Raw genomic sequence first — 25,644 nt, 5'->3', positions numbered from 1 at the left:
AAGTAGGAGGGCAAGATATGGAAAACTACATTTTGTTCCAAAGAAATGGAAATTCTGTTCCCAAAGAGAGGGAAGAATAGAGCTAAATGATGGTATGAAGAGATCTACTTCTTCTATGTTTGTTTATCTGTGGGGGTGTGGTTGTTTAGCTGTTACCTTGAATCTGGGCCGGAAGATATATTAATACCCAAGATAATTCTGATAGAATGCTGTCACTCATTTTAACACATGCATCTATTTTCCTTTCTGGAGTATTCATGTGTCTGGACACCTAAAACCATTGGCATTTCACAATCCCCAAGATGAGTCTTTAGCAAACTTGCTAGAAGGAATGTTGAGGAAAATAATATCAGATGTTATAAAGAAACTTAATGGTATTCTCTCCTTCTAGATATTCTGCATAACAATGAAAAACAATTTGCATATGCTAGAGTGTCTTTCTTTAGTGGTAATTCACTTCAGTGGAGTTGTCATATTAACTTGGTCCTCCTCTGAGAGTCCTTCTCCTCAACTGACAACATTAGTGTTTCCATTCTGAGTATGTCAATTTCATCGGTTCAGTTTCAGTTTGTGGTCACAGGTATGCATAACACCCAGGTGCCAAAAGTTGGGGAAGATTCTAGTGAAGCTTAAAAACTGCAACCCAGTGGAGACTAGAATGACTAATCTTAGTGCTAATCAGAATTAGTTTTCTACAGGTGACAAACCACATTCCAGCATATGTCAGAGGATTGGTGGCTGTTTTCAAATGCCTCACAGAATTATGCTTTTGAATTCATTTATAAAGATGTGCTTATATGCAATAAAAACATAAGTTTTACAGTTTAAAACTAAGCTAACTCCCTTATTAAATCCTTCATCTTCTATCTCCTATTGTTTAAAGAAACAATCAACAAACATAGTACATTCATTAAAGCAGCCTCTTTTTAAAGTGTTTTGAGAATGTGTATGCACAGAAAGATTCAGGAAAAAAAAATATACCAATAGCACAACCTCTCCCACACAGGAATAAATAGGTCCAATTGCTAATTGCTGCAGAAAGTATTGATATAATGTATAATTTCAAATGCTTATTCTAGCATTGAAAAATCTATATATATTTCCATTAGAAAACAGGGACTTTTATTGAGCCAATTCCTCCTTGGCAAATCTCAAGCTTGCAAACTGAAACTCTTGGCAACTAGCCATGTTTCTTTTTTCTTCTCTCAGAGAAAGAACAGGCTTCAGAAATTGTACTAGTGTTCCTTCTTCTTTGGAATTATAAGAGCTTGGCCATATTATTCCAAAAATATAATTTTCACAAGTTACAGCAATGAAGAACATTGAAGCACAGAATGTACAAGATACTCTTTTTTTTTCTGTCCTGAAATATTATGTATATTCTACTTCATAATAATTCTATTGGAGGGTAGAAATTCAGTTTCTCAGGACCTCAAATGAACAAAAGCTGTTATAATTTGTTGTCATTATTGTCTCAATTGTCTCAATTTTAAGTATAGATAATCAGACCATATTACTTCCTCAAAGAATCGACCAGGCTGTGTGTCTGGATATTAATAATAGAAAACATGTTTGCCCACCAAAATGCAGGGATGGGGTGAGAAATGCAGTGTGTGTGTGTGTCTGTGTGTGTGCGTGTGTGTGTGTGTGTGTGCACACTGGATGATAGGGGTCCTCTCCTATTCAGACTTCAGAAATAAATGAAAGAAAGAAGTCTGCATTGTGGTGGAAGCTGAGAAGACAGGAAAAATGATATTTAATTATTGCTTGACACAATTTCAAGATATTTAACAGTATCTTGAAAATTTAAAAAAATGAAAACTATTTTTTATGAATGTCTTTGAGTTTTGATTCTTACACTCATTCTTTTACATAAAAACTAATTAATGAATTTAGGATCTAAAAAGAAACAAGTATTACTGTTGCTATCTCATGTTTTGTAACAAATGTCTGCAAAAGAGTAGCTTATGATATAAATCATTTATTTTGCCCAATTCAAGGGAATGACTGGCTCAGCAGTTCTCGCTCTGGTTCTTGCATATGGTTATCCTGAAGCTTCTTCATGTCCGGTACCTGGATTAGTAAGTTTTCAACAGGGAGCAGCTAGGCCTCCTCCGCCATCTTTCGCTCTATGTGGACTTTAAATAAGGTGGCTTCATGGTTCCTTGTGTGATTTTCTTAAAAACAATCACACAATGCAGCACATGAACATTTTAACACGTAAAGGTCTTTTCTCTGATTTCTTTTCTCTGATTCCTGGACTTCTTCCATAGTGATTGATGGTCTGAGAGTCAGTGTTCAAAGGCTGACCAGGAAAACCTACCTGGTCTTTGCTAACATAGTCTCAGAAACCATGCAGTGTCATTTCTGCCACATTCTATTCATCTTGGTGGTCCCAAAGGCTAGCCTGTGGAGGGGACACTGACTTTTGATAGGAGATGTTTACAAGAATTTACAGATATGTTTTAAAACCACTATGGTAGTTCCTTCTAACTTCTGGTCAGAATTACCCAGAACATCTATTTAAATATAACTGTAACCTGATAGCCCAAATACAGTCAATTAGAATTCCCAAGCACCTTAGCTTAGATTTTTTTTCTTACATTACTAAAATGTCAAAAAAATTTCCCATGTCTATGTTTTCATTGTTGTTAATTATGTCATGCTCTAAATTACTTCTCAGTTGAGTATTGTCTATACAGGCCATATGAAACAACTAGTTAAGATTTTTTAATTGCTTAAGGTACTGACCTGGGTAATTGAGACTTTGAGATGTAATTTTTTTACATAAAGATTATAGCTAACACATTTGTCCAATTCTTTTCCAAGCACTTTAAATTAATTCATTGTATTTTTCCCAAATCACTGTTAAATAGTTATTGTTATTATCCTCAGGTTACAAATAAGAAAACTGAGGCCCAGAGAGGGTAAATGCCTGTCAAAGATCACACATTTAGTAAATGGAAGAGCTGAGATTCAAAACCAAGCAGAGGGCTCTAGTGACCATAACTGTCACCTCCTGGTCAGTAAAATCAGCTCCTTTATAGGCCAGAACGCAATTCATTCTCAACTATAAAGTAACATGAAAATTAAATAGATTCCTATGATAATGAAAAGTAATAACTTAGACCCAGGGATTTCTAGGTGATCTCCGGGTGTCACAGAGGTCTGTTCACTTTGTTCAGGACTATTTAGCTTGTGCTACAGACAGATGGCAGGCCTCTCTGTCAATCCGTTTATGTTTGTATGTATAAATGTATGTATCTGTCTGTCTATGTAGAGATTGAACTCTCTGAGAAGAAGACTCTGAGATAGAGGTTAGGGTATAGAAAGTTTATTAGGGCCAGGTGCAGCAGCTCACGCTTTTAATGCCAGCAATTTGGGAGGCTGAGGTGAGCGGAACACTTGAGGTCAGGAGTTCAAGACCAGCATGGCCAAAATGGTGAAACACTGTCTCTACAAAAAGTACAAAAATTAGCTGGGTGTAGTGGCACACGCCTGTAATCCCAGCTACTGGAGGGGCTGAGGCAGGAGAATCGCTTTAACTCGGGAGACTGAGGTTGCAGTGAGCTGAGATTGCGCCATTGCACTCCAGCCTGGGCAACAAGAGTGAAACTCCGTCTCAAAAAAGAAAAAAAAAAAAAAAAAAAAGGGAAAGCATATTAGGAAGTGCTGTAAGGATTTACAACTATAGAGCAATAAAATGGCAGGATTGATCAACAGAAGAAGGTGTATACTGAGACAGTCGTAGCAAAAATGCCAACTAACTCCAGAGGGAACTCTGAAGCTAGGATGCTGCTTCACTGTACTGGGTTATGGCAAAGGGATCAGGTTTTATAACTCCGTATCAACTAGCTATTGGATGCAGGCTACTCTCAAAGAGAAGGCATGGCCTTAGGCAAGGCAACTTTCTTCAGCTAAGGGCACTGTCAGGACAGGACTGGTATGAGAGTCTTCATATGTCAGTCACACTCCCAGCAGCTGATAGAAGAGGCTCTCCAGTGCCGAAAGGGAGACACACACGCATGTACGCACGCAGTATATGTATATTTATTTGTAAATTGCATGTATGTGCTTCTTTGATTTGCAAATTAAATATTTCTAAAGTTAACTTTTATTTTTAAAATAAGAAATACATATAGAAGTCCAAATATATTTATTGCATCTCATTATTTTCTTGATCCCCCCCATTTTTGAAATGTTTCCAGGTAAAAACAATTATTTTCACACAGTTTATTCTCTATTTATTTGCATATGCTTCACTTTGATATAAAGAAATTTTGAGGTGGATTACATAGATATTCAAGAACATCAGGAATTTTCTAAAAATTTAAATAAAAAAATCAGGACACAGGGAACAAAAAAATTAAAAAGGGATGAAAACAGTGGCAAAGCTAATATATTCATATTTTTTAAAAGGCTATGAGATGCTGTACACCTTCAAGATATGAGGTGCAAATTTGGTGCTGGGCTTCTGAGCAACAGTAATAAAAGAAAATAAGATCCATTACAGGGGCCAATGTCTATGAGATTAAAAATATACCCAATGCTCATGGGAATTGTAAATTTTCCTGGTACTGATACCTTAGAGAAATTTAACCTTTGGCTCTTCATACAATTTACTTTTTTCAACAAAAATTGATGCTTATATAAAAAGCCCTATACATAATCAAGTAGAGACTTGAATGTCTTCAAATTATTGAATATAACTAGAAAGACTACATAGCATAATGAGGGCAGTAGCAATCACTGCAGGCTGAAATAATAAAAAGAGAATTCATGTAGGAGTTAGCATTAAAACTAAGCCTTGAAGCATGATTTAGAGAAGTGACAAGCAGTTATTGTTTAGGAAGATACTCCAGCCAAAGAAGCTAACATGCATAAATGTATGAAAATAAAAGAGAAAAGGCAAATCATACTCATAAAATTAATTAAATTATATGCCATTTCCAGATATCTTGGATGCAGCAACTTAAGATTGGTGAGTACTTAAAATGAGTATTAAAGCACTAGCAAAATAAATCAGTTGAAAACATTGTTTAGGCATAGAATTACTATGACTAAACTATTTTTATTAAGTTATTTCCAAGCCAAAATGCAATATTTCAAAATGTAGCAGAAAAATAATTTTAACTTTGGTATTATGAAGACAGTGCTCTTTTTAAAATTTGCACCATAAATTGGAAAGGAAGATTAACCATTACATGGTGGTATCATATAGGCAGTATGGCTTTACAGTTGCAGAGAAGTGGATCACTCATTTATGGAATAGAAATTTTTCCTGATAAAAATATTTTTTTAAATTATAATTCAGATTGAAAATTGCTTCATAGATGTTTTGTTCAGTTTTACTACAGAGGATTTATTTCCTTTTTTGTATATAACCTTCCATTGAATACTTCAATTTTATTGAAATTTATTTTTTAAAATACCTAAGGATTGTCTTTAAAAAATCTCTATTAGTTGATCAAAATAACTGTTAGGAACAAAATGAAGCTACTTCTATTTGTGTTGGAAATTTTAATAATGAGGCAAAATAATATTATTGAAATATATCTACTATATAAAACATTTTTCCTATAGAAAAAATGTAGTTATAAGGATTTGAAAAATTAAGTTATTGGAATTTTACTCTACAACTGCTAGATAGATGAAAATTTGAAAAATAACAGAATGCCTTCTTCCTCCCTTTCCCATTTTTTGACCCCTGGCAACTACTGATCTGTGTCCATCTCTATCATTTTATCATTTCAAGAATGTTACATGAGTAAAATCATACACTATGTAAAAAAAAGAAAAAGAAAAAAAAAGAAAAATAACAGAATGGAAATTGTAATAAAATATGTTTCCACCCCACAAATACTGAAGTAAGATGTTATAACTTTGGGGCAGATTTGGGGCAGATATGACTAAGCAAAGTGAAATTTGTATGTATATAAATAGTAACTTGCATGTAGAACCCAATATTTAGTGCCCTGCAGGAGTGAACATGTACAGTTAATGGAATTCCTTTCAACAATGCTAATTATAGAAAACATTTATATTATCCTGCAATTAAGTAGTAGGTCATGAAATATACAGATGTTTTTCTTTTTTGATCTTGAGTATAATGTAGATTACTCTGCGGCCAATTTAAACTCTGTACTACTTCTAAAACAAATAACTGTTCCCCTAAATCTAAATCTAAGTCCTTTAAGAACTAAAATACATATATTTAGAGTAGATTTCTTGTAGATAAGATAGACATTTCCCACTGCAAATGCCAGTAAACCTTCCTAAAAATTATCTTAATACACTGTTCTCAGTAAAACAGGCTGTCATAGAAGCCACTAAAATCTTTTTTTTCATGCAGTCACTCACTATGATGTTCCCTGCTTGTATTCACTTCACCTCTCAACTCTTCTTATTCAAGAACCCTTTTCCCCTGCAATTATATTAAAACTCAGGTTCTAGACAAATGATCCTCCCTGCCAACATAACCCTCTGAAATCACAGTCCTTATCTCTTTGTCACAGCTCCTCACAAAAGGAGGAATACGTGCCTGGAATTGTGCTAAATACAATTCTCTTCTTGTTACAGTTTAAGAGAGTCCAGAATAAACATTCTGATTTCTAATATTATAGCCTTATAAACATTATTGTTAATTTTATTGGATGAATATATGAAAGTGTCCATTGAATTATCAGGTGACTATTCAGTGTTCCTTTATTTATGAAGTTAAATATTTGCTTATAGTAAACTATGATTAGTGTAAAGTATAATATTTTATAGCCTTTATTATAAAGTTCAGTGGATTTTACTCTATAAATGCACATTTTTTCCAAACATTGGAATATAACAATATAGGGTATATTAAATCCATAACGCTTATATTTTAAAAAGTCATGCCCTCTTCTGAAAACAGAAAGTTTACGTTCCCTCTATTTGTATTTTTAAAATGTGCTATTTTGCTTTCCTAATATAAATTATATTCTAGCATATGCATTCCTCCTCATCATCGGCCCCTCTTATGTTCTAAGTCCCCCAGTCAAGTATGGACTGCAGAAGAGATCTATAATTGTATGTGCATCTTTCTTCCATATTCCATTTTATAACATACAAACCACCCGTAAACATGTTATTTCATTTGTTCTGGAGCAATAATCTATGTCTCCAAGGAATTAAGTGGCACTTGCCTAAAGTGACAAAAGGCAAATAGCGAGGTCAGAATTGCAATGCCTAAAGTTGTTCACTTTCCATCATACCTTTTATGTTTAATGTTTGCAAAGGCTTTCTGTCTCTCTCAGCGCAGTATGAAAACATCTATCATAGTATGGCACCAACAAATACCTTTGGTTGCTTCTCTTTTTTAGTTTAAATTTTGGGAAAGCAAGGTTTTTAAGAATTTCAGTGAAAATTGTCTATACTCATGCATTATGACAGTATTGTATTTGTTAGTACATTAAATATGCATAACGTAATTGGATATTTTTGTAGGTTTTCCCATCTAGTTAGATAATGTAATTTATAAAGTATTCCATGTGTTTATTTGTTGATTTTTTTAAATCCCCATATTCTCAAATTTATATTGTATGTTTTACCAGCCTACAAAGTCATTTAATTTAACCTAAATATTTACCTTTTCAGACAATAATGCAACACACAATGGTATCAGCATCTACATTTGAATATCATATCTCAGTTTACTGTCAAAACCCAGCATCACTTAAGTCATGTAACATTGAAAAGTTCACAGAATTGAGCCACTAGCCAGATATTTTCCCCTTTGATAATTGCTATTCCTTTACTATGCTACTTTACAATAGGATACTTTATCGAGGTACCTACTTTGGTTACACCAACAACTACAATGTTCTAAAATAAGTTCTTTTCAATGTAGTATAGTGGTAATGGCAAGCTCGAACTTAAGGTAACAGAACTTTCAAATTTTACCTCTCCAGATGTTTATATTGACATTTTTTTGGACTTATTTTTTTCCACAAGAAAATATGTATATTGAAGAAAACAACTTTTGAGAGCAGTATTTCATTTTCATAACCCTTACAACATTAACAGGTCAGGTTTTGAGAGTTGCTGCAGGCTACTTTAACTATTGTCAAACTCTTTGACATTAACGTATATTGTTTCACGTTATTTGGCATGTAAGGATAATGGGTCCAAATGCATTTCCACTTCTTAGTGAAAACATACACAATTCTCTGCTATTTCAAAATTAATGTTAGGAATAATTTTATTTTTTACCATGATGCCTGTTTTACTAAATTTTTCATGATTCACTACTTTCACATGCTGATCTAATTTCTTACAGAAAATAATTTTGTAGTTATCACATGAGTATCCCATGAGCCTTTGACCAAACAAGGAAGAATGCTCTCAATTATGCTATTTCAACATTTCCTCAATATTTTACCAGCACATTTTGATGTATGTTCAGTTAAAAGAGTCAGAGCAAGCTCATTTCCCGGAATATAATTCTCATACACAAAGGTATACATTGGTTAAAGGCATTAAGAAATACATTGACTAGATTCTCCAGCCCCTCTAATAATTGGTAAATTAAGGAGAATGTATATGTGATGCCCAAATGCAGAAGTCAGCTAAGAAAATCTAAAGGGGAGCTTGTATTTCTAAAGATTATACATGGTCTTTACTTACCCTTGTGGCCTACATTAGTAAATTTGCACATAATCTTGTTTCCTAGTAGCTGCCCCCACAGCAAAGAAAGAAATCACACAGGGTAAGTTTCCCCCAGAGACACAAAGAAGCCAATAATCCTGCTAACATTTGCTCCTGTATAAAAGGCCAAGCCTGCACTCTAGTCAGGTAGCTACCCAACATTTCCCTGCTGTATTTCCTCAATGAGGAAACAGGATACATGTTTCCACTCACAGGACTTGAGGAAGCAGTTGTAAGAAATGTGGTATCCAAATGGAGAAGAAAAGCAATATTATAGTCCATCATTATGATAAGATATTCTAGTAAAATCAAACTACTCTCTATAAATATGCAAGAAAAAAAAGGCAGTCTTTGTGTAATAGGAGGTGGGGTGGAAATTTTCCTTTTGCCTAAATCACGAAAACTGCATCAAAGAGATGCAAAGTACCTGCTTTCTAATAAAACATTGAAACAGTTGGAGACTTAGGGAGGAGTCAAAGCTGCAGTTTAAGCCCAAGACCATCAGTCTGAAGACCCAGAAAAATTCAATGTTTCAGTTCAAATTTGAAGGCCATCTGTTGCAGACTTCCCTCTTGCTGAATGTTAGTCTTTTGTTCTATTCAGGCCTTCAACTGATTGGATGAGGCTCACCTACATTATAGAAATAATCTGCTTTACTCAAATTCAACTAATTTAAATGTTAGTCTCACTCGAACACACCCTCACAGAAACATTCAGAATAATGTCTGACCATATATCTGGGAGCCATGACCCAGCCACACTGAAATATAAAATTAACAATCACAATATCTTACCATGATGCTGATTCCCTGTGGCTAACTTTTCCTCATTTAAATATCAAGTGGAGGAAGCAGTGACATTGATGATGATGACTTGATATGAATGTCTGAATTTTCTGTCAGTCAAGGGAAACTAGAAGTAGTTCTATGTGAGCCACTTGGCTGGCACCGCCATGTGAAGTTGTCCTGCTAGGTAAAATACTCTGCCACAGGCAGAGAGCTAGACTGCCAAGAATGCCTGAGCCAGCTTTCCCAAATCAGGGAACTATATATACAGTGAGGAGAACAGCAGCTCCAGGAGAACTTACTCATGTGCCCAGTTCATTAGAACACTTACCACACAGAGGATCTCTGTGGTGGCCAAAAAAGCTGTTGCAATTAACCAACAAAGAAATCTACAAAACTGGTTAATGAAGAGGCATTGGTAATTTTTCCTCTCCTATCAATGTGCTCTAGCACACACTGCAGGACACAGAATTTACAGAAAACAAAGGGAGGAGGTATCTCAATGACAAACATGTCTCTTTCCTTCTTTCTTTCACCTATGACTGTGGAGGGATGAGGAACAATAATTTCAGATAGCAAAGGAAGGATAAAAACTTTGAGCTGAAGATAGGGTTGAAATTTAGAACCACATCGATTTGTTCTAATTGAAAGTGATGGCAAGTATTAAAACCTGCTGAATATATTTTCAGGGATAATAAAATGTATTGCAGGATATGGCTAAAAGCAATGACTAGAGTAGAACATAATATCATGTTTATACCTTACTAATTTGGACCCATTAATAAACATATATACCTATAGGTAGAGAGGCAGTGCTATGTTAGCTATCTGTGGTAGCTAAAGCCCCCCCACCTCAGCAGGCATTTCATCCCTATTATTCTGGGGACAGCAATCTGTTTCTTTGGAGAATTTCTCTAAATCCATATGATCCTTCTGAAACTATCAATCATAGTGCCCCTCATCTCAGCCATAGACCCGAGCATTTGGCCTAGGTTATGTCAATCATAGTTCCACTGGATCATACATAGCAAATGGCCAAGAGGGAGATATATGACCTGAGCCTGAGCTACTAGAATCCTATCTTGAACTTTTATGAATAAATTTTGAAGGGTGTATCAGGGTCTAGTCAAAAGAAGGAAACTGCCAGTTATTGAACAGGATTATTTTATATAAAAATATTGTTAAAGTAACTGAAAGGATCAAAAGAGAGCTGTAAGGTATTACAGAGGTAGCAACTATAGAAAGAAGCTATCACCCTTATAGCTAAAGGAACAAAGGGAAGAGGCTAAAACAATTAAAATGTAGAAACTTAGAGGATGGGTCCCAAGAGTTGAAACATGGACTACAGACAGTGCTCTACTTGCCTTGGATTTTCTTACAACTTTTCAACTTTACTATGGATTTATTGAGCTATTAAAATGCATTTTTGACTTAACGATATTTTCAACTTACCATGTGTTTATAAGGGTATAACCTCATTGTAAGTTGAGAAGCATCTGTACTGAAGAAGAGGAGCTGCTCTGTTAGTGCTGGTATCTCTGAGTATGGAGGAGCAGTCTTTGGGTCTGGGACCCAGACCTGTAAAGAGAGGACACAGGCAGGTGTTGTTGGTAGCTCTGAGAGGCAAGTAATGAGGCTAAATATGTCAGTGTGGAAGAAACTGCAAACTGAATTCAGCTGCTGCTGTGGGAAAGCCCTGCTACTGCTGGGAATTGTTGTTGGGGTAATACCCACAGGAACAGGAAGCAGTCTAGAAGTACACAGGGAACAAACAGAAAAGAACAAGTCTTCCTTCTTCCCTTTCCAGCCTTGCTCTCTCCCTCTAGTGCCCAAGATTGGCAGAGCTTCACAGGGAGCCAGCTGACAAAGCAAAAACATAGCTTGCAGAGTCTCAGCACCAGAATTGCAAAGCTGAATGAAGAAGAGTGGGTTCAAGCTGCTGGGAGACAAGAACTATAGAAGTGGTGTGGAGACATATGTCTTCCTTTTAGGTTATGAGATGAGATGAATCTGACTATGCAGTAAGAAAAAGATATTTCTTAGCATGTCTCAATTATCCATATCAAGAGAGGAGCAGGCTCATACAAGCCACTTAGTTCTAGAGGCTCTTCTTGACCAGTAATCTCCTATTTTTAATATAATTGACTAGATGTGTATGACTCTCTTTCCTTATAAATATGTAGAGTGGGACCAGGCACGGTGGCTCATGCCTGTAATCCTAGCACTTTGGGAGGCCGAGGCGGGTGGACTGCCTGAGCTCAGGAGTTTGAGACCAGCCTGAGCAACACGGTGAAACCCCGTCTCTACTAAAAATACAAACAATTAGCCGGGTGTGGCGGCATGTGCCTGTAATCCTAACTACTTGGGAGGCTGAGACAGGAGAATTGCTTGAACCCGGGAGGTGGAGGTGGCAGTGAGCCGAGATCACGCCATTGCACTCCAGCCTGGGCAATAGAGCAGGACTCCGCTTCAAAAAAAAAAAAAAAAAAAAAAAAAAAAAAAAAAATATATATATATATATATATATATATATATATATATATATACATACATACACACACACATATATATATGTAGAGTGACTCAGGAGGGTGTGACCTTTCTACTAGAGTCTATCTTTACCATCAGATATACTTGGCCTAAGCACAATTCTCTGTGGAATAACACAGGCTCAGGGAATTGGGTATGCTTCATTTATAATTTTTTTCCAAAAACCTCTATTTTAAATTTGTATCATATGACATTAGCAAAGTATGTGCTAGTGTCATCTCTACAGGACAGTTAAAAGCTGTACAGGCATATGCCCAGGATATTGACAGTCATGTCCTGCTACATTAAGGAAATTCATCTACAGTAAGAGTCTAAAAGAGGAAAGCAAGGAGAAAGATTATCGACTGAATGCTGTATCCTCCCAAATGTATATGTTGAAACCCTATACTCCAATGTGATGGCATTAGGAAGTGGGGCCTTTGAGAGGTAATTAGGTTTAGATGAAGTGATGAGAATAAAGCCACCATAATGTTAGCATTCTTATAAGCTTCCTCTCTCCATCATGTGAGGATCCAGTAAGAAGTTGACTATCTGAAAACCAGGAAGAGGGCCCTCATCAGACACTGAGTCAGCTGGCATCTTAATCTTGGACTTCTTAGCCTTCAGAACTGTAAGAAATAAATGTATGTTTTTAAGCCACCTAGTGCATGTTATTTTGTTATAGCAACCAGAGTTAAGACAAGAGGCAAAGTATAAAGGAGAAATAATGGCAAAGAAAAAAAGTCTTAAAAACCTAATTTGACTATTGTCTGTGGCCTGCATATAAGACAGTTCTTTACTGAACTCCATATGTGATGTGAGCCTATACATACCTTTATTTGCTAAATTAGTTTGAGTGGATGTCTGCAAATAATCATGAGTAATACATGGGATTTAAAGCTTAAGACACATTTTTATAAAGGTACTTCCAAAACAATAATGATGCAATTTGTAAAATGGTTTACTGAACAAATGAGGATGAATCTCAAATATTATTTTTCCTAACCATATGGCTTATTGGACAATAAATGAAGATCAAGGACACAATAATCCTTCATTTTACGTAGCCATGTTCCATGTTATAACAACAGTCCGAAGTGCCGATAGATTTAATTATTGGATTTGAAGGGAGACAACGAGTGACAAACCACTTCAACTTCATTTAACATTTAAAACAGCAATTTTCATAGATAAATTGCCATGGAATAGGACAAACTTTTATTTAATGAACTGAGGTTTATATTCAGTGGTGAAACTCACAAAACTTGGAATCTGACCAATTCCTGAATTTCCACGATGCCAGTCCCACTCAGGGAGCAAAGCATTGCTGTTTTGAAGGAAGAAAAAAAATTTGGTTGCAGAGCCAGGGACCAAGTCTTCAGAACTTCACATTCACTTTCCAGCCTTTCAGAAAATAGTCTAGAAATCATGCCTTGTGTAGTTGAAAGTGAACGCTCCTTTGAAAGAAATACAAGCTGTGCACTGTCATCTAGTGCCCATCCAGATCTTACCTGCATGAGGTGAGGCTCATGATATTGCCCAAGCAACTGCAAATGTCGCCCTAAAATAACCAACACATCAGCTGGTGCTTCTTCTTCTTTCAGATAATGGCCTCTTCTAACTTGAGTTGCATTCCCAGAAAAATCACAAATCAGTCCAAAAATCCCCCTTGTAACTGTAGACAACCATCTGAGATTTCCTGGGGAAATATACAAATTATTACCCATATAAATTGTTGCCAATTGTTACCAATATCCTCAACTTCAACTAAGTTCTAAAAACCACATAGGTTTTTAAGAATAATTCTATAATAATTTGTGTTGCTATTTTCCACAATTTACAATTTCAAACCTTTATGTCTCCCAAATTTCCAGCGTCCTCCATTGCTGTAAATCTCAGCTATTGGGTTGCCTCATACTTTAGAAAAAAAATAGAAGCCAAAAAACAGGAACTGGTCAATCTTGCCAAAAGCAAATACATCAATGTATTGCAGCTACAACTATCTTCTCCTATTTCCATTTCCATTATAATGATGAATTTATCTCTTTCTTAACAATAGCTGTTTCTCCATAAGCACTGAAAGGCATGATTACATACCACCTTTCTTATAAAATTAAACAAACGAAAAATGCAAAACAGTAAAAAACTTTAAAAAAAAACTTAAAAGCAATAACCTTCTTCAATTATGTTCCTATCTCTCTACTTCATTTATTCTGGAGACAAACATCTAAATAGAATTCTTTAAATGCACTATGTCATTTTGTCTAATTTCTTACCTGCCATGTAATCAACTTTCCAATGTTTCAAATTGTTTTTCTTAGAAATAAAACTTTAAAGCCCAAATTGAAAGCCATTTGTATACTTTTCCCAATTTCATTCTTTCTCCACCATTCTCAGAGGCAACCATTATCCTGATATTTTGTGAATTATTTCCTGTTCATAATTTTTATATTTTTACTACATACCCACTGTATATACAAGCATATGATTTTTCATTTTTATATTATACATTTTCTTCATGTATTATATATTATACATAATTAATATAATTTAATTTAACTCTCACTATATGAGTACATGTGAATATATATTCATGTTTATATATATATCTCACTATATGAGTATATATGTATATATATTTATTCATGTTTATATATGTATATATATCTCACTATGAGTATATATATGTGTACATATATATTCATGTTTATATATGTATATATATCTCACTATATGAGTATCTATATATATATTAGTTTTATCCATGTTGGGGAGTCCCAGGACTACTCAGGTTACATTGATTCCATACATCCTCAGCTGGAATCATGACTTTTAAGTACTACATATATTCTAAAAATTCACAAATTTACCTTTCATTTCTGACATTTCCCTGAATTCCACAACAGTGTACACAATTGCCTGCTTGACATCTCCCTTTGGATGTGCAATAAGCTTCTCAAGCTCAAATGCAATTCTGAAGTTCCAACGACCCTTTAAATCTCCTCTTTTCTCTATTTCCTATCTTTGTAAATGGTAATTCCATTCTTTCATTCATTCAAGTCAAACATCTTAGAATCATGGTGGTAGTTTTCCTTTGAGTACTTTGTTGTTTTTTATTAATTACACTCATTTTCAATAGACTCTGTAGGGGTCTCTGTGATCTCATGACATAATTTTCTATCTGTTTTCTCCACTTCCATTAATGCCCAACTGCAAATCTTTTATCAACAAAGTCATTTTTTAAAAATATGTTCAATCATGCCACTTCCCTGCTTCTCACTACATCTGGGCCATGCCTCTCCAGCCTATCTGTGACCTTCTCTATGCTCAAGTCACAACAGCTTCTTCTATCATTCTCTAGACACAGAGACTTGACACAGATTTCCAGAGCAACAATAACTGCTCTTCCCTGCACCACCACTTGATTCTAGGAATTCTAATTGTCTATCTTCATATATCACCTTAAATACTTAATTGATATTACCTTAAATCTACTGATGAGTTTCTGACCCATATTTTCCTTTACTTTGCTCTTTGGAGATAACTATTGTCTTTTTTTTTTTTTTTTTTTTTGAGACAGAGTATCGCTCTTTCGCCAGGCTGGAATGCAGTGGAGTGATCTCGGCTCACTGCAACCTCTGCTTCCTAGGTTCCAGCCATTCTCCTGCCTCAGCCTCCAGAGTAGCTGGGACTACAGGCGCGCGCCACCACGCCCAGCTAATTTTTGTATTTTCAGTAGAGACAGGGTTTCACCATGTCAGCCAGGATGGTCTCAATCTCTTGACCTTGTGATCTGCCTGCCTTGGGCTCCCAAAGTGCTGGGATTACAGGCCTGGCCCAATAATTGTCTTAAATTATGTTATTTGTCATTTCTATTTCTTAAGATTCCCACTTTTAGTTTTGTTTACTTTTGATTTAAGTCAATCTATTATTAAGATGCATCGTATAGTTTGTAGTTATATCTCATTCATTTTAAATTCTGGTAAACTTTCAGCTTGCCAATTTATAACAGTTTACTTGTATTTTTTAAGATAAGTTTTAGAGTTGTTTCCAGATTTTTGTTCTTGAAAACCATGAAGATACATATAAAGATGTTTCAGTCTACATGTGTGGTAGACAAAATTTTGGCTTTTGTAATTTGCTCCTTGGCGATACTTTCATAAATATATTACATGGCTAAAGGGCTTTGCAGTTGTAATTAAGGTTACCAATCAAATGACCTTAAATTAGAAAGATTATGCTATGTGGATGGGCTATGTGGACTATGTGGATGGGTTTAATATAATCAGAAGCACCATCAGAAGCAGGGATTTTTCTCATTCTGATAGCAGAAGAGGAAGTCAGAGATTTGAAGCACAAGAAAAATCCAGTGTGTACTTGTTGGCTTAAAGATGAAGTGGCAAGAAAACAGGGACTTTAGTCATACAACTCCAAGTAACTGAATTCTGAGAACAACCTGAATGAAATTGGAAGTTGAGTCTTAACCAGAGCATCTAGATAAAAGCCAAGGAGAGCAAATAATTTAATTTTGGTCCTGGGAGGACCCGAGTGGAGGACCCAGCAGAGCCACCTTGTACCTGGACCTCTGACTCACAAACCTGTGATATAATAAACGAGGGTTTTAAGTCACTAAATTTGTTGTAATATGTTTAAAAAGCAATAGAAAACTAATACAACACATCTAAGTGTTTCTCTTGAAGTGTAGTGGCTCTTTGGGTCCAGAGGGTACATCTGTGATTTTCACTAGTGAATTTCCAGTTTCCAGTGTATCTCCTGCTTCAGTTTGAACATTTCATATGTACTCGTGGACTAAATGAGTGAACACAAAACTGAAGTTTATAAAGTCTTGAAACTACAGAGCAGAATTGGGTACGCAATAGGAGGATAAATCAGATAAAAAGTAATTTAAAAAATTGATTGCATTATAATAAGAAACAGATAGTTAATATTTGTGAAAATATAACATATCAAATAACAACTGTAAGTTATGTATTATCTTCAGTGCTCACTTTATATATACAAACCTGATTGCAAGAGCAGTTTATTAGAATTCAAAATATTTTCACAAGGAAATGATATTATAAGGGGACAATGAATTCTCAATATCACTTAAAAGCACCAAATTAACACATAGCTTAATTATGTCTATAAACAATAGATGACAGAAATAATGATCAAGTCATAATAATAGTAAAAGAGAAATAATGAGAAATCATAATAATAGTAAAAGCACATATCAGCCAATGGCAGAAGTGTGGTTGGAAAGTAAAGGTGAAAAAAAGATAAATGGCTATATTTGATACAAGTGAAAATGATGGTAGCTTCATATGGCAAAATGCTACAATAAAACAATAGACTTGTCACAATATGTTGTGTGGTTTAGATGAAGTGGCCAAGAGATTAGAGTCGAGGGCACCAATAACGCCTTTGCATTTCATTCAACCATCGTTGAAATAAGAGTAAATCTGACTTGTGACAGTTCCAACAGATACATCTCAATGATTATTTGCCTAATGCTTAATGATTAATTAGATTAAAACAATGAAAGAAGAGAGATGTTAAGGTTTTTATGAATATTCATTAGGCAGTGAGGATACAATGAAGACTTGGAAAAATTCTTCATCTTAAACTTATAATTAAAGAAAAAAAAAAAGATCATTCCCTATTCTGTTCCATACAAAGTAATCTACACAGCTTGATTTGTGCAAGAATAGTTTCACTGATTGTCTAAACGTGTCTTTAGAATTTTCCCATTATCTCCTCATTTTATAGTCTGCAAAATTTTCATCTGTTCTACATCCTTGCAGATCAGGTTCAATTTTTTTGTAGTAAGTGTAATTTTCTATGCTAATATACAATTATTTTCACAAACTGATCATACACCATTCTTTTTGTCTTCCTTTGGTTAGGCAGCCCATATTTCAATCTGGTGGTGGCTGAGTAGTTTTTGTTGACAAGACCACACTTCTTGCTACATGAACAATGGAGGCAGGATCTAAATCCAAATTTCCTTAAGGCTACTTTATTTGGTTAAGCTAACACTGAATTGTTGGCTAAGCTATAATTAAGCTAAGACTTAACTACTTAATTATTTTGTTTCAGCATGCTTTGTAGTACTATAAAAATGCTTTATTTATTTTCTCTTTATTTGCTTTATATATCCTATTTTGCATATAAGGTTTTATTTTGTAAACCACCTTTTCTGCATCATTAATCCAATGCAATATCACTGGAATGTAGCATTGCATATTTACATTTAAGAAGCTAAAACTTTATATTGTGCATACTTACATCACAATTAAAAATAATCTCAAATTCTATTTCTGAATTTATTCTACATTATATAACCATTTGTTTTCTTAAATATTAATCACAGTTTAACATACTATGTTATTTTCAATAAAATGTGGGTTTCAAATATATAGAAAAATGCAGCAGAAATTATGCATGTTTTTAAAATGTATATGAAGTTTTTGGGGGCAAAGGGTTATTTGTTCAAAACACAATTCTGAAAATTACTTTAAAAGCAATCAATTTCCTATATTATGGTTCATTAATTACTAATAACATTTGTCACACTTAAATGAAAATCTAAAACAAAACTTTGCATGGTTAAAAAAATAAGAAGGTTTTATATATGGAAAATTACTTAATGACATTTAAATCCGTTTAATTTTATATAATATATAAATGTTTGTGATACATCCACAAAACCTAACTGAGCCTGTGCTTTATAAATATTTGTTGAATGAATATATGGGTGAATGTATTAACAAATCCAACTTACAGAAAATGGTCATTACTTAAGGGCAGTGCATACTTAGATCTGATAATTATAATGCAATTATAAATTATTGCAATAAGCATATGTTGATTATGTTGATAATCTTTAGAATAGTGCATATGCAAGCAAGCATTGGTTTTTGAGGCCATAACTATGTCTCTTTTCCTAGAGAAAAGTTTGGTGAACAATCCCTATAAAAGCACTTGTTTAATCAGTTTAACGCTATTAGAATTGAAAGAATACAAAGCAATGAATTTGAAACATTACTTAATCTGCCTTTTCTTTCCCTCTTGTGCAGTGGTTCAATAAAACCTGAAAGAAGTTATCTTGAAAGAGTAGATTAAACCAAATATCTACTATATTGGTAATCCTAGTAATTGGGACTATATATTAAAAAAGAAAAGTTGCTGCTATAAAAACATGTTTGAATTGTTAGAATCCCAAAAGTATTTACAATAGCATCCTCAAAAGAAGAGTAGTAGGGAAATTTCTCTAGATGTTACTCAACTTCAAGAAGTCTTTTAAAATGATATTCATCTGAAAAACGAAAGCTAACTTCAAACTGTACTAGAAGCAACATGCTGAAAAATCAATTAGAAATGCATTCTAGAAATAAGGTAAGAGGTAATAGAATGAAATTTCTAGAAATTATCCTAGGTAGGTACTCATAACTTTGAGATTGGCACACATTCCTTAAACAGGATACAAAAGATCATTGATTATAAAAGAAAAACTGACAGATTAGATTTTATCAGATTTGAAAACTTTCATTTATTAAAATATACTTTTAAGAGATTCAAAAGGCAAGCTTCCAAAAAGGAGACAATATCTGTCATACAAATATCCAGTAAAGGATCCTTATTCAATAAATCTTACGAATAAATGATAAAACCAATTAACTTTCTTAAAAAATGAAAAACTTGAGTAGGCTTTTCACACATGAAAACAAGATAATCCTAGTGGCCAACAAGCATAGGAAACAGTGCTCAATGTAATAAAATATTAAGAAAATGTAAATTAAAACCACAATGAGATACTGGTATATAGTCACCTAAATGAATACAACTTAATAAAATTCACAATACCAATTGGGGGCACATGAATGGATCGACAGCACTTTCATTCACTTGTGATGGTGATGGAAATTGTACAGTCAGTATGTAAAACCGTTATCAGCAGCTTCTATACCTAAATACATGCATATATTATGACCAAGCAATTCAATTCCTGCTTAGGCACCACATAGAAATTCATATATATATATATATATATATAAAAACATAGACATGTACAGAATGATCATTAAGAATAATTCACAATAATCCCCCTCAATAATAAAACAGGAAATAAACATATTACACAATATATTTATATAATGAACTATTATACAGCAATGAAATAGAGAAGAGTACTATTTCTAGCAACAGTACATATCAATCTCATAGATTCATGCTGAGCAGAAGAATCTCAAACACAAAATAGTACGTCCTATATAATTTCATGGTAAATGTCAAAATCAATTGAAATGAATCGAGTTGATAGAAGTCGTAATAGCGACTACCTTTAAGGTATATGATGACTGAGGAAGAGGCACAGGAGAGGCTTTTGTGGTATAGATTATTTTCTATGCCATGCTCTTGGCACTGTTACCTGGTGTGCTCGCGTTATTAAAAAAATTACCAATTTGTAAACTTAATATTTATAACATTATTAGAAATATTTTGTACTTCGACAGACAGCTTATCTATGATCACTTCTATTAAATGGATAAAACTACTTCTTAGACTAGACCATTGATGCAACATTCAACTTGCTAATTAGTGTCCACATATCTGGTTATACTAACTAAAATTGTTACTGTATTTTAAAGTCATTACAGTTCATAAATCAGATAATTTGGACATCTTACCATCTTAATTTTGTCTCTTGGGTTATAATATTGCAAGATTTATACTTCAAGTTACTCAATTCCCTTTCAATTTTTTGTAAAGAAATCAAGTTTTAATGGAGGTTTAATTAACGTGCTCTTGATTTAGATATTTATGAGTTATTTGGATTTGTAATATAAAGAAAAGTTCTATTAATTACCAAACCATTCTTTTGCACTTACTTATATAAGTTTATATTTTAAACTGATATGCCTTTTCATACCTTTAATAACAATAATACATTTATTGGTTATTTACGATGGGCCATGCACCATAAGTTAAATATTTTATCCAGTTAACTCATTTAAAACCCATGGGATTCTATGAGGTGGCATTATTATTTTGCTTTATATACAATAAGGAAACTATGATGTAAAGAAAAACCATGCCCAAGATTATAACATTTGCCAGGTGCTAGCACTTGGGTTCAAAGCAAGCTGTCCCTGCAGAAAGTCACATGCCTAACCATTTAGCTTAATGCTAAGGAACTAGTCCTTAGAGGTATCTGCCCTACTTAATTCTAGAGATGGTAACAGTTAAAGATCAATTGTAGCATCTTGATGCTGTCTTTACATAGCTTTCTCCTTATTTACTTAAGTGGTCTCAATTTGTTTCTTATGCATTTAAGTGTTCAATTATGCTAATGCTGTTCCCCAGGGATTTGCTCTTTCCTCTCTCTGCTCTTTGTTTATGTGATCCCAGAGGCTTCCCTCATTGAAGAATGAGTCAAATTTTTCTCCCTGATGAATTAATCGTACTAAGTTTTCTTGGGCTGTATTCTCTGATATTGCTTTTTATTATGACAGAGATTCATGTATGAGTATTCCACTATTTTTGAAATTTTAACAGCTCTTTTCTACAGAGTTCTTATTACTTGATACAACTAGATGCAGAGAAGTACTGCCAAGTGTTGTTGACATATACTGATGGTTTCACTTTGTTTCTACAGATGTTGCTATAATGCTCAACCTAGTTATCTCTTTGGAGCAACAGATATCGTCAGTTTTTAGAAAACTGTATTACCATTTAAGAAGTATTTTGTTTCTAAGGTCTCAGAATAAGATTTATGCATTGTTTGTTTCCTGTAGTTTAGGCTGATGATGATTGACTGGATTATGAAACAGATTTTAAATGTTGACTGTATTACACACTGCAGAGTTAGTGTCAGCCTTGGGTGTTTTGATTGCTTGCTTGTTTACATATCAGATATGTGCCATGTACTCAGTGATGGTACCACTCTCTACCTTTTATATGAGTGTAGTGCTAAGACTAGCAATAGAGAGAACATAGAGAGAACAAAGAAGCATGTTTTGTTTTGTTTGGAGTAGACACAGAATACCATTTATTGCAAAAAGTAAAACAATTACATATTTTGTTATCTTTCAAACATTTTATCTTACCCCTACTGCCATCCTACTTTAATTGTCAAAAATGTTGGTATGTCTTTTAAAACTGGAGGCAATTAGATTCTTACTATAAAAAAAACTATTTTATGTCAATTAAAAATAAAATAAAACTTTAAAAAATTATTCTGTAAGTCTTCTATCTTATAAGTTTCTCATTTTTCCTGTGCCTCTATACCTAGAATATAACATCCTCAAAGATAGAAACTATACAATTTTTTTTCATGATTTTTAGTTTATTCTAATTTCTAATTCTGTCAGGTGGCAGATAATGTTAGTAATAGCATTCCTTAATTAACCTGGCAATTGCATAATACACCCTTGGGTGATGCCTTCTATAGTGAACACAATGGCAGCTGTATGTATATCTGCAGCTACTTCCTTTCACCATGCCTTCAAGCCCTTTGATTTCTCATTTACCTGAATATTGGAGTGTCACATACTTCAAGCAATGAACCAGCAGATAAATCTACACTGCAGAGTGAGGGGCCCAACCACTAACTGAATCACAATTATGGGGAATGGGGAATAATTAGCAACAGAACTCTGGGCAGTAAAGCAAACGGTTTGCATTAAAGCTGTCTCTTGGCAGGTGAACAGGTCTTAGCCTCTGGTTTAGGGTTATGAATAGTAAAGGTGGGTAAGGGATGGGAAGAACTCTTCAATTGAAGTGAGTTGCTTATTAAGAACCGTACTGATTGCTAATCCCAGTTTTGTAAGCTAGTTCTGATGGCAATTAGAAATAAACTACTTCATTCTTAACTGTAGGCAACTTTATTATTTTGCATAAAGAGCAAAAGAACATTATTTCAATTTATAAAAGAAAAAGACTGAGGAAGCAGGCCAATAATACAGTCAATATGTAAGCAAAGGAAACATGTTTGGAAGAGTAAAGGCCTGAAAGGGGCAGGAAAAATCAGAAGCTCAGTTACCAGAATAGGGTATGAGTTGAGAGTCAGATCACAATAAGGCTATGCTGATATTCCCTAAGTATTAGCTATAGCTCCTCAAATAGCTCGCAAATAATAGTCAGAACTGACACCACAAAGGGGCAGGACCAGGCCTGCATACTAAGGCCATGTGATTTCAGCTCTGGAGAAATCGATTCAGAGACTGGAAAAATAGACAGGGCTGAAAGATGGGAAAAAGGACTAGTTTTATTTTTTTCCAAAGGACATTTTATTTCCCAAAGTTGTATCAATTCCAAGAAGAAAATCTTGGACTTAGAGAAAAATAAAGTTTAGAAGTTGTCCACAGATTTATTTTATCATTGATATCAACCCCATTATTTAGCTAGATGAAAGGTTGCTGTACTGTTTCTTGCCCATTGACTTATGTATCTGGGACTGATTTTAATATCAGGGTGAATTCAAGTCAATGCTTTACAACCAATATCTTTAACATCTTCTGATCATTTTTGCTTTTCATTCTGAAATCCAATGGTGCATTTTATTCATAAATTCTTCATCACTAGAAATTTTCTAGAATAAGGAGTGATGGTAATCCCAAACTTACATAACGTGGCATTGCAAATTTTGTCATATTACCTGGGACTAGATCCTCTATGTTTCAAGGATTTTGCTGTGAAGCTATACTTATGGGACATTCTCTACATAATTTGATTTTACCACTTTCAACATTTTGAACGCTTTCTTAATCTAACACTTTCTTAATCTAACAAACAGTACAATATTTGAGATGCTAACTTCATAAAAATCTTCAGGTTTCCTGTATGAAGGACTGGTACAATTAATAATTTTGCTTAATTTATAGCATTTAATTATATCAATGAATATAATCTAATTCTTGCTTTATTATTTCTATTCATTATGTAATCATTGACAATAATTTAACAAGTGTAATGTTTCATATTCCTCTTATAAGTTTAATTACCTGACAGATCTGCACTTCCCAATTTCACTAAATTAAACAAACAAGAATGTGACCTTCTGCAGCAGTGTCAAAACCGTAGGTGTTGAAGAGCAACACTCTTAAGTTCATTGTCACATTCAATTAATTTCTGAATTATACCAAATTGATTGAAAAATAATAGAAATTTAATAAATAATTTTACCCTTGTTAACAAAAATATATTCTGAAGTACACTTACTAAATACATATTGTTTTACATATCAGCAGTTTATAATTGAGTTCATCAGCAGAAATTTGATACATGCCACAAATGTAAACTTTATTAAGAATGGCGAATATTACATTAAAAAGTTTTACATGGAATTAATAAATACTTGGTAATTCTAAATCAGGGAATGCACCAAATTTAAATAATTGTGTGATTCTGAATAAATATTAAATTTGTATCTATCAAAACAGTGCCTTTTATTGCAGTAATTTAAATAATTGGAATTGCCTCGAGAGTATTTTAATCAACCTCTGGTATACATTATTGCCATGTCAGAAAGATGTGTTTAAAGTAGCTACAAACAAAGTTTATACTCATGGTCTGGCTGCCTAGCACTAGTGTAGTCAAATAAGGGTAAACAAAATGTACGTGTGTTCCTGGGAAGAGACCTCTTTAAATGCTTCTCTAATGAAAGAGGTTCTAACTATAAGGCTTGAGAAGAAATGAGCTGCATATCTAAAAGTCATTTACTTTTGCCTTTTGTATACCTCATTCAAATGATCTCTTGTTTTATAGACATAATCATAGATAGTTTGTCAATTGGTATATCCTCACTGCAGTCTAGTTACCAACTGTGGACAATTCGGTTTTTCAATGAATGTGAGTTTCTCATTAATAGTGATGCTGATTGCTAACCCTAGTTTTGTAAGCTAGTTCTGATAGCAATTAGAAATAAACTACTTCGTGCCTTAACTATAGGCAATCAGAACACTGAAAAATTCTGACTGATGAAATCAGTTTATTGACTGATTAGTCTGAATATAATTCAAGGATTTACATTTACAACAGCACAGGTTGCAGTAACCATAGTCCTAGTGAAGTAATAGTGTAACTGGTTTATATTTTGTATAGTACACACATAAGTAAACAAAATTCTTCAAATAAAATGCTCCTGAGACATATAGTTCTAATTCTCAAAAAGATAGAAATGTACATTACTACATTACTTTGGTTTCCACAAGTGTATGGCAAATGCACCTGATAGCAATAAGTTAAGCATACTCTGAGAATAACACTATGGTCTAAAAAGAATGTGTGTTCAGAGTTCTGAGCTAAGAAATCTGCGAGTGGCCAACCTGGAGACTTATTCCTTATCTGTGAGGAAGGAACCCTGGTCCATTACGTGGAATGCAGGCCACACAGGGGATCAATACCCTTTCTTTTGGATTAAATGAAGCTTGTCAGGTGGAGGTTGCTAGGGGGAGGGTGCTATGTGAAAATGCTATATAAACTGCATGCTTTTTACAAGCAATTGTGGTTCTTCTGTCCAGCCTGCCACCACTGGATCATCAATAAACCCAATTTTATTATTTTTTTTTTTTCTGGCTCTGGGTCTCTTCATCTTCTGGGACACCGTGCCATCCCTAATGAAGTCAACAGGGATCACCACAACAACTAG

General features: G+C 34.1%; 1 long non-coding RNA gene across 4 annotated transcripts in view; it reads right to left on the bottom strand.

Annotated features, from left to right (window-relative positions):
- LOC105378797 (uncharacterized) overlaps window positions 1–25,644 on the bottom strand; it is a 396,491-nt gene that overhangs the window by 110,525 nt on the left and 260,322 nt on the right. For 3 of the 4 annotated variants that reach the window (XR_001737670.2, XR_947505.3, XR_947506.3), the window contains 2 exons: window positions 13,502–13,689; window positions 10,914–11,039 (listed from right to left, as the gene is read on the bottom strand). This is a non-coding gene — a long non-coding RNA (uncharacterized LOC105378797). The remainder of the gene's footprint in view (window positions 1–10,913; window positions 11,040–13,501; window positions 13,690–25,644) is intronic. The other variant, XR_001737671.3, reaches the window with a different exon arrangement.

Source organism: Homo sapiens, chromosome 1 (assembly GCF_000001405.40).
Source record: "Homo sapiens chromosome 1, GRCh38.p14 Primary Assembly".
In the NCBI taxonomy this organism is placed as follows: domain Eukaryota; kingdom Metazoa; phylum Chordata; class Mammalia; order Primates; family Hominidae; genus Homo; species Homo sapiens.
The sequence above is the reverse complement of the archived record's forward strand: the minus strand, read 5'-3'. Positions and strand labels throughout refer to the sequence as shown.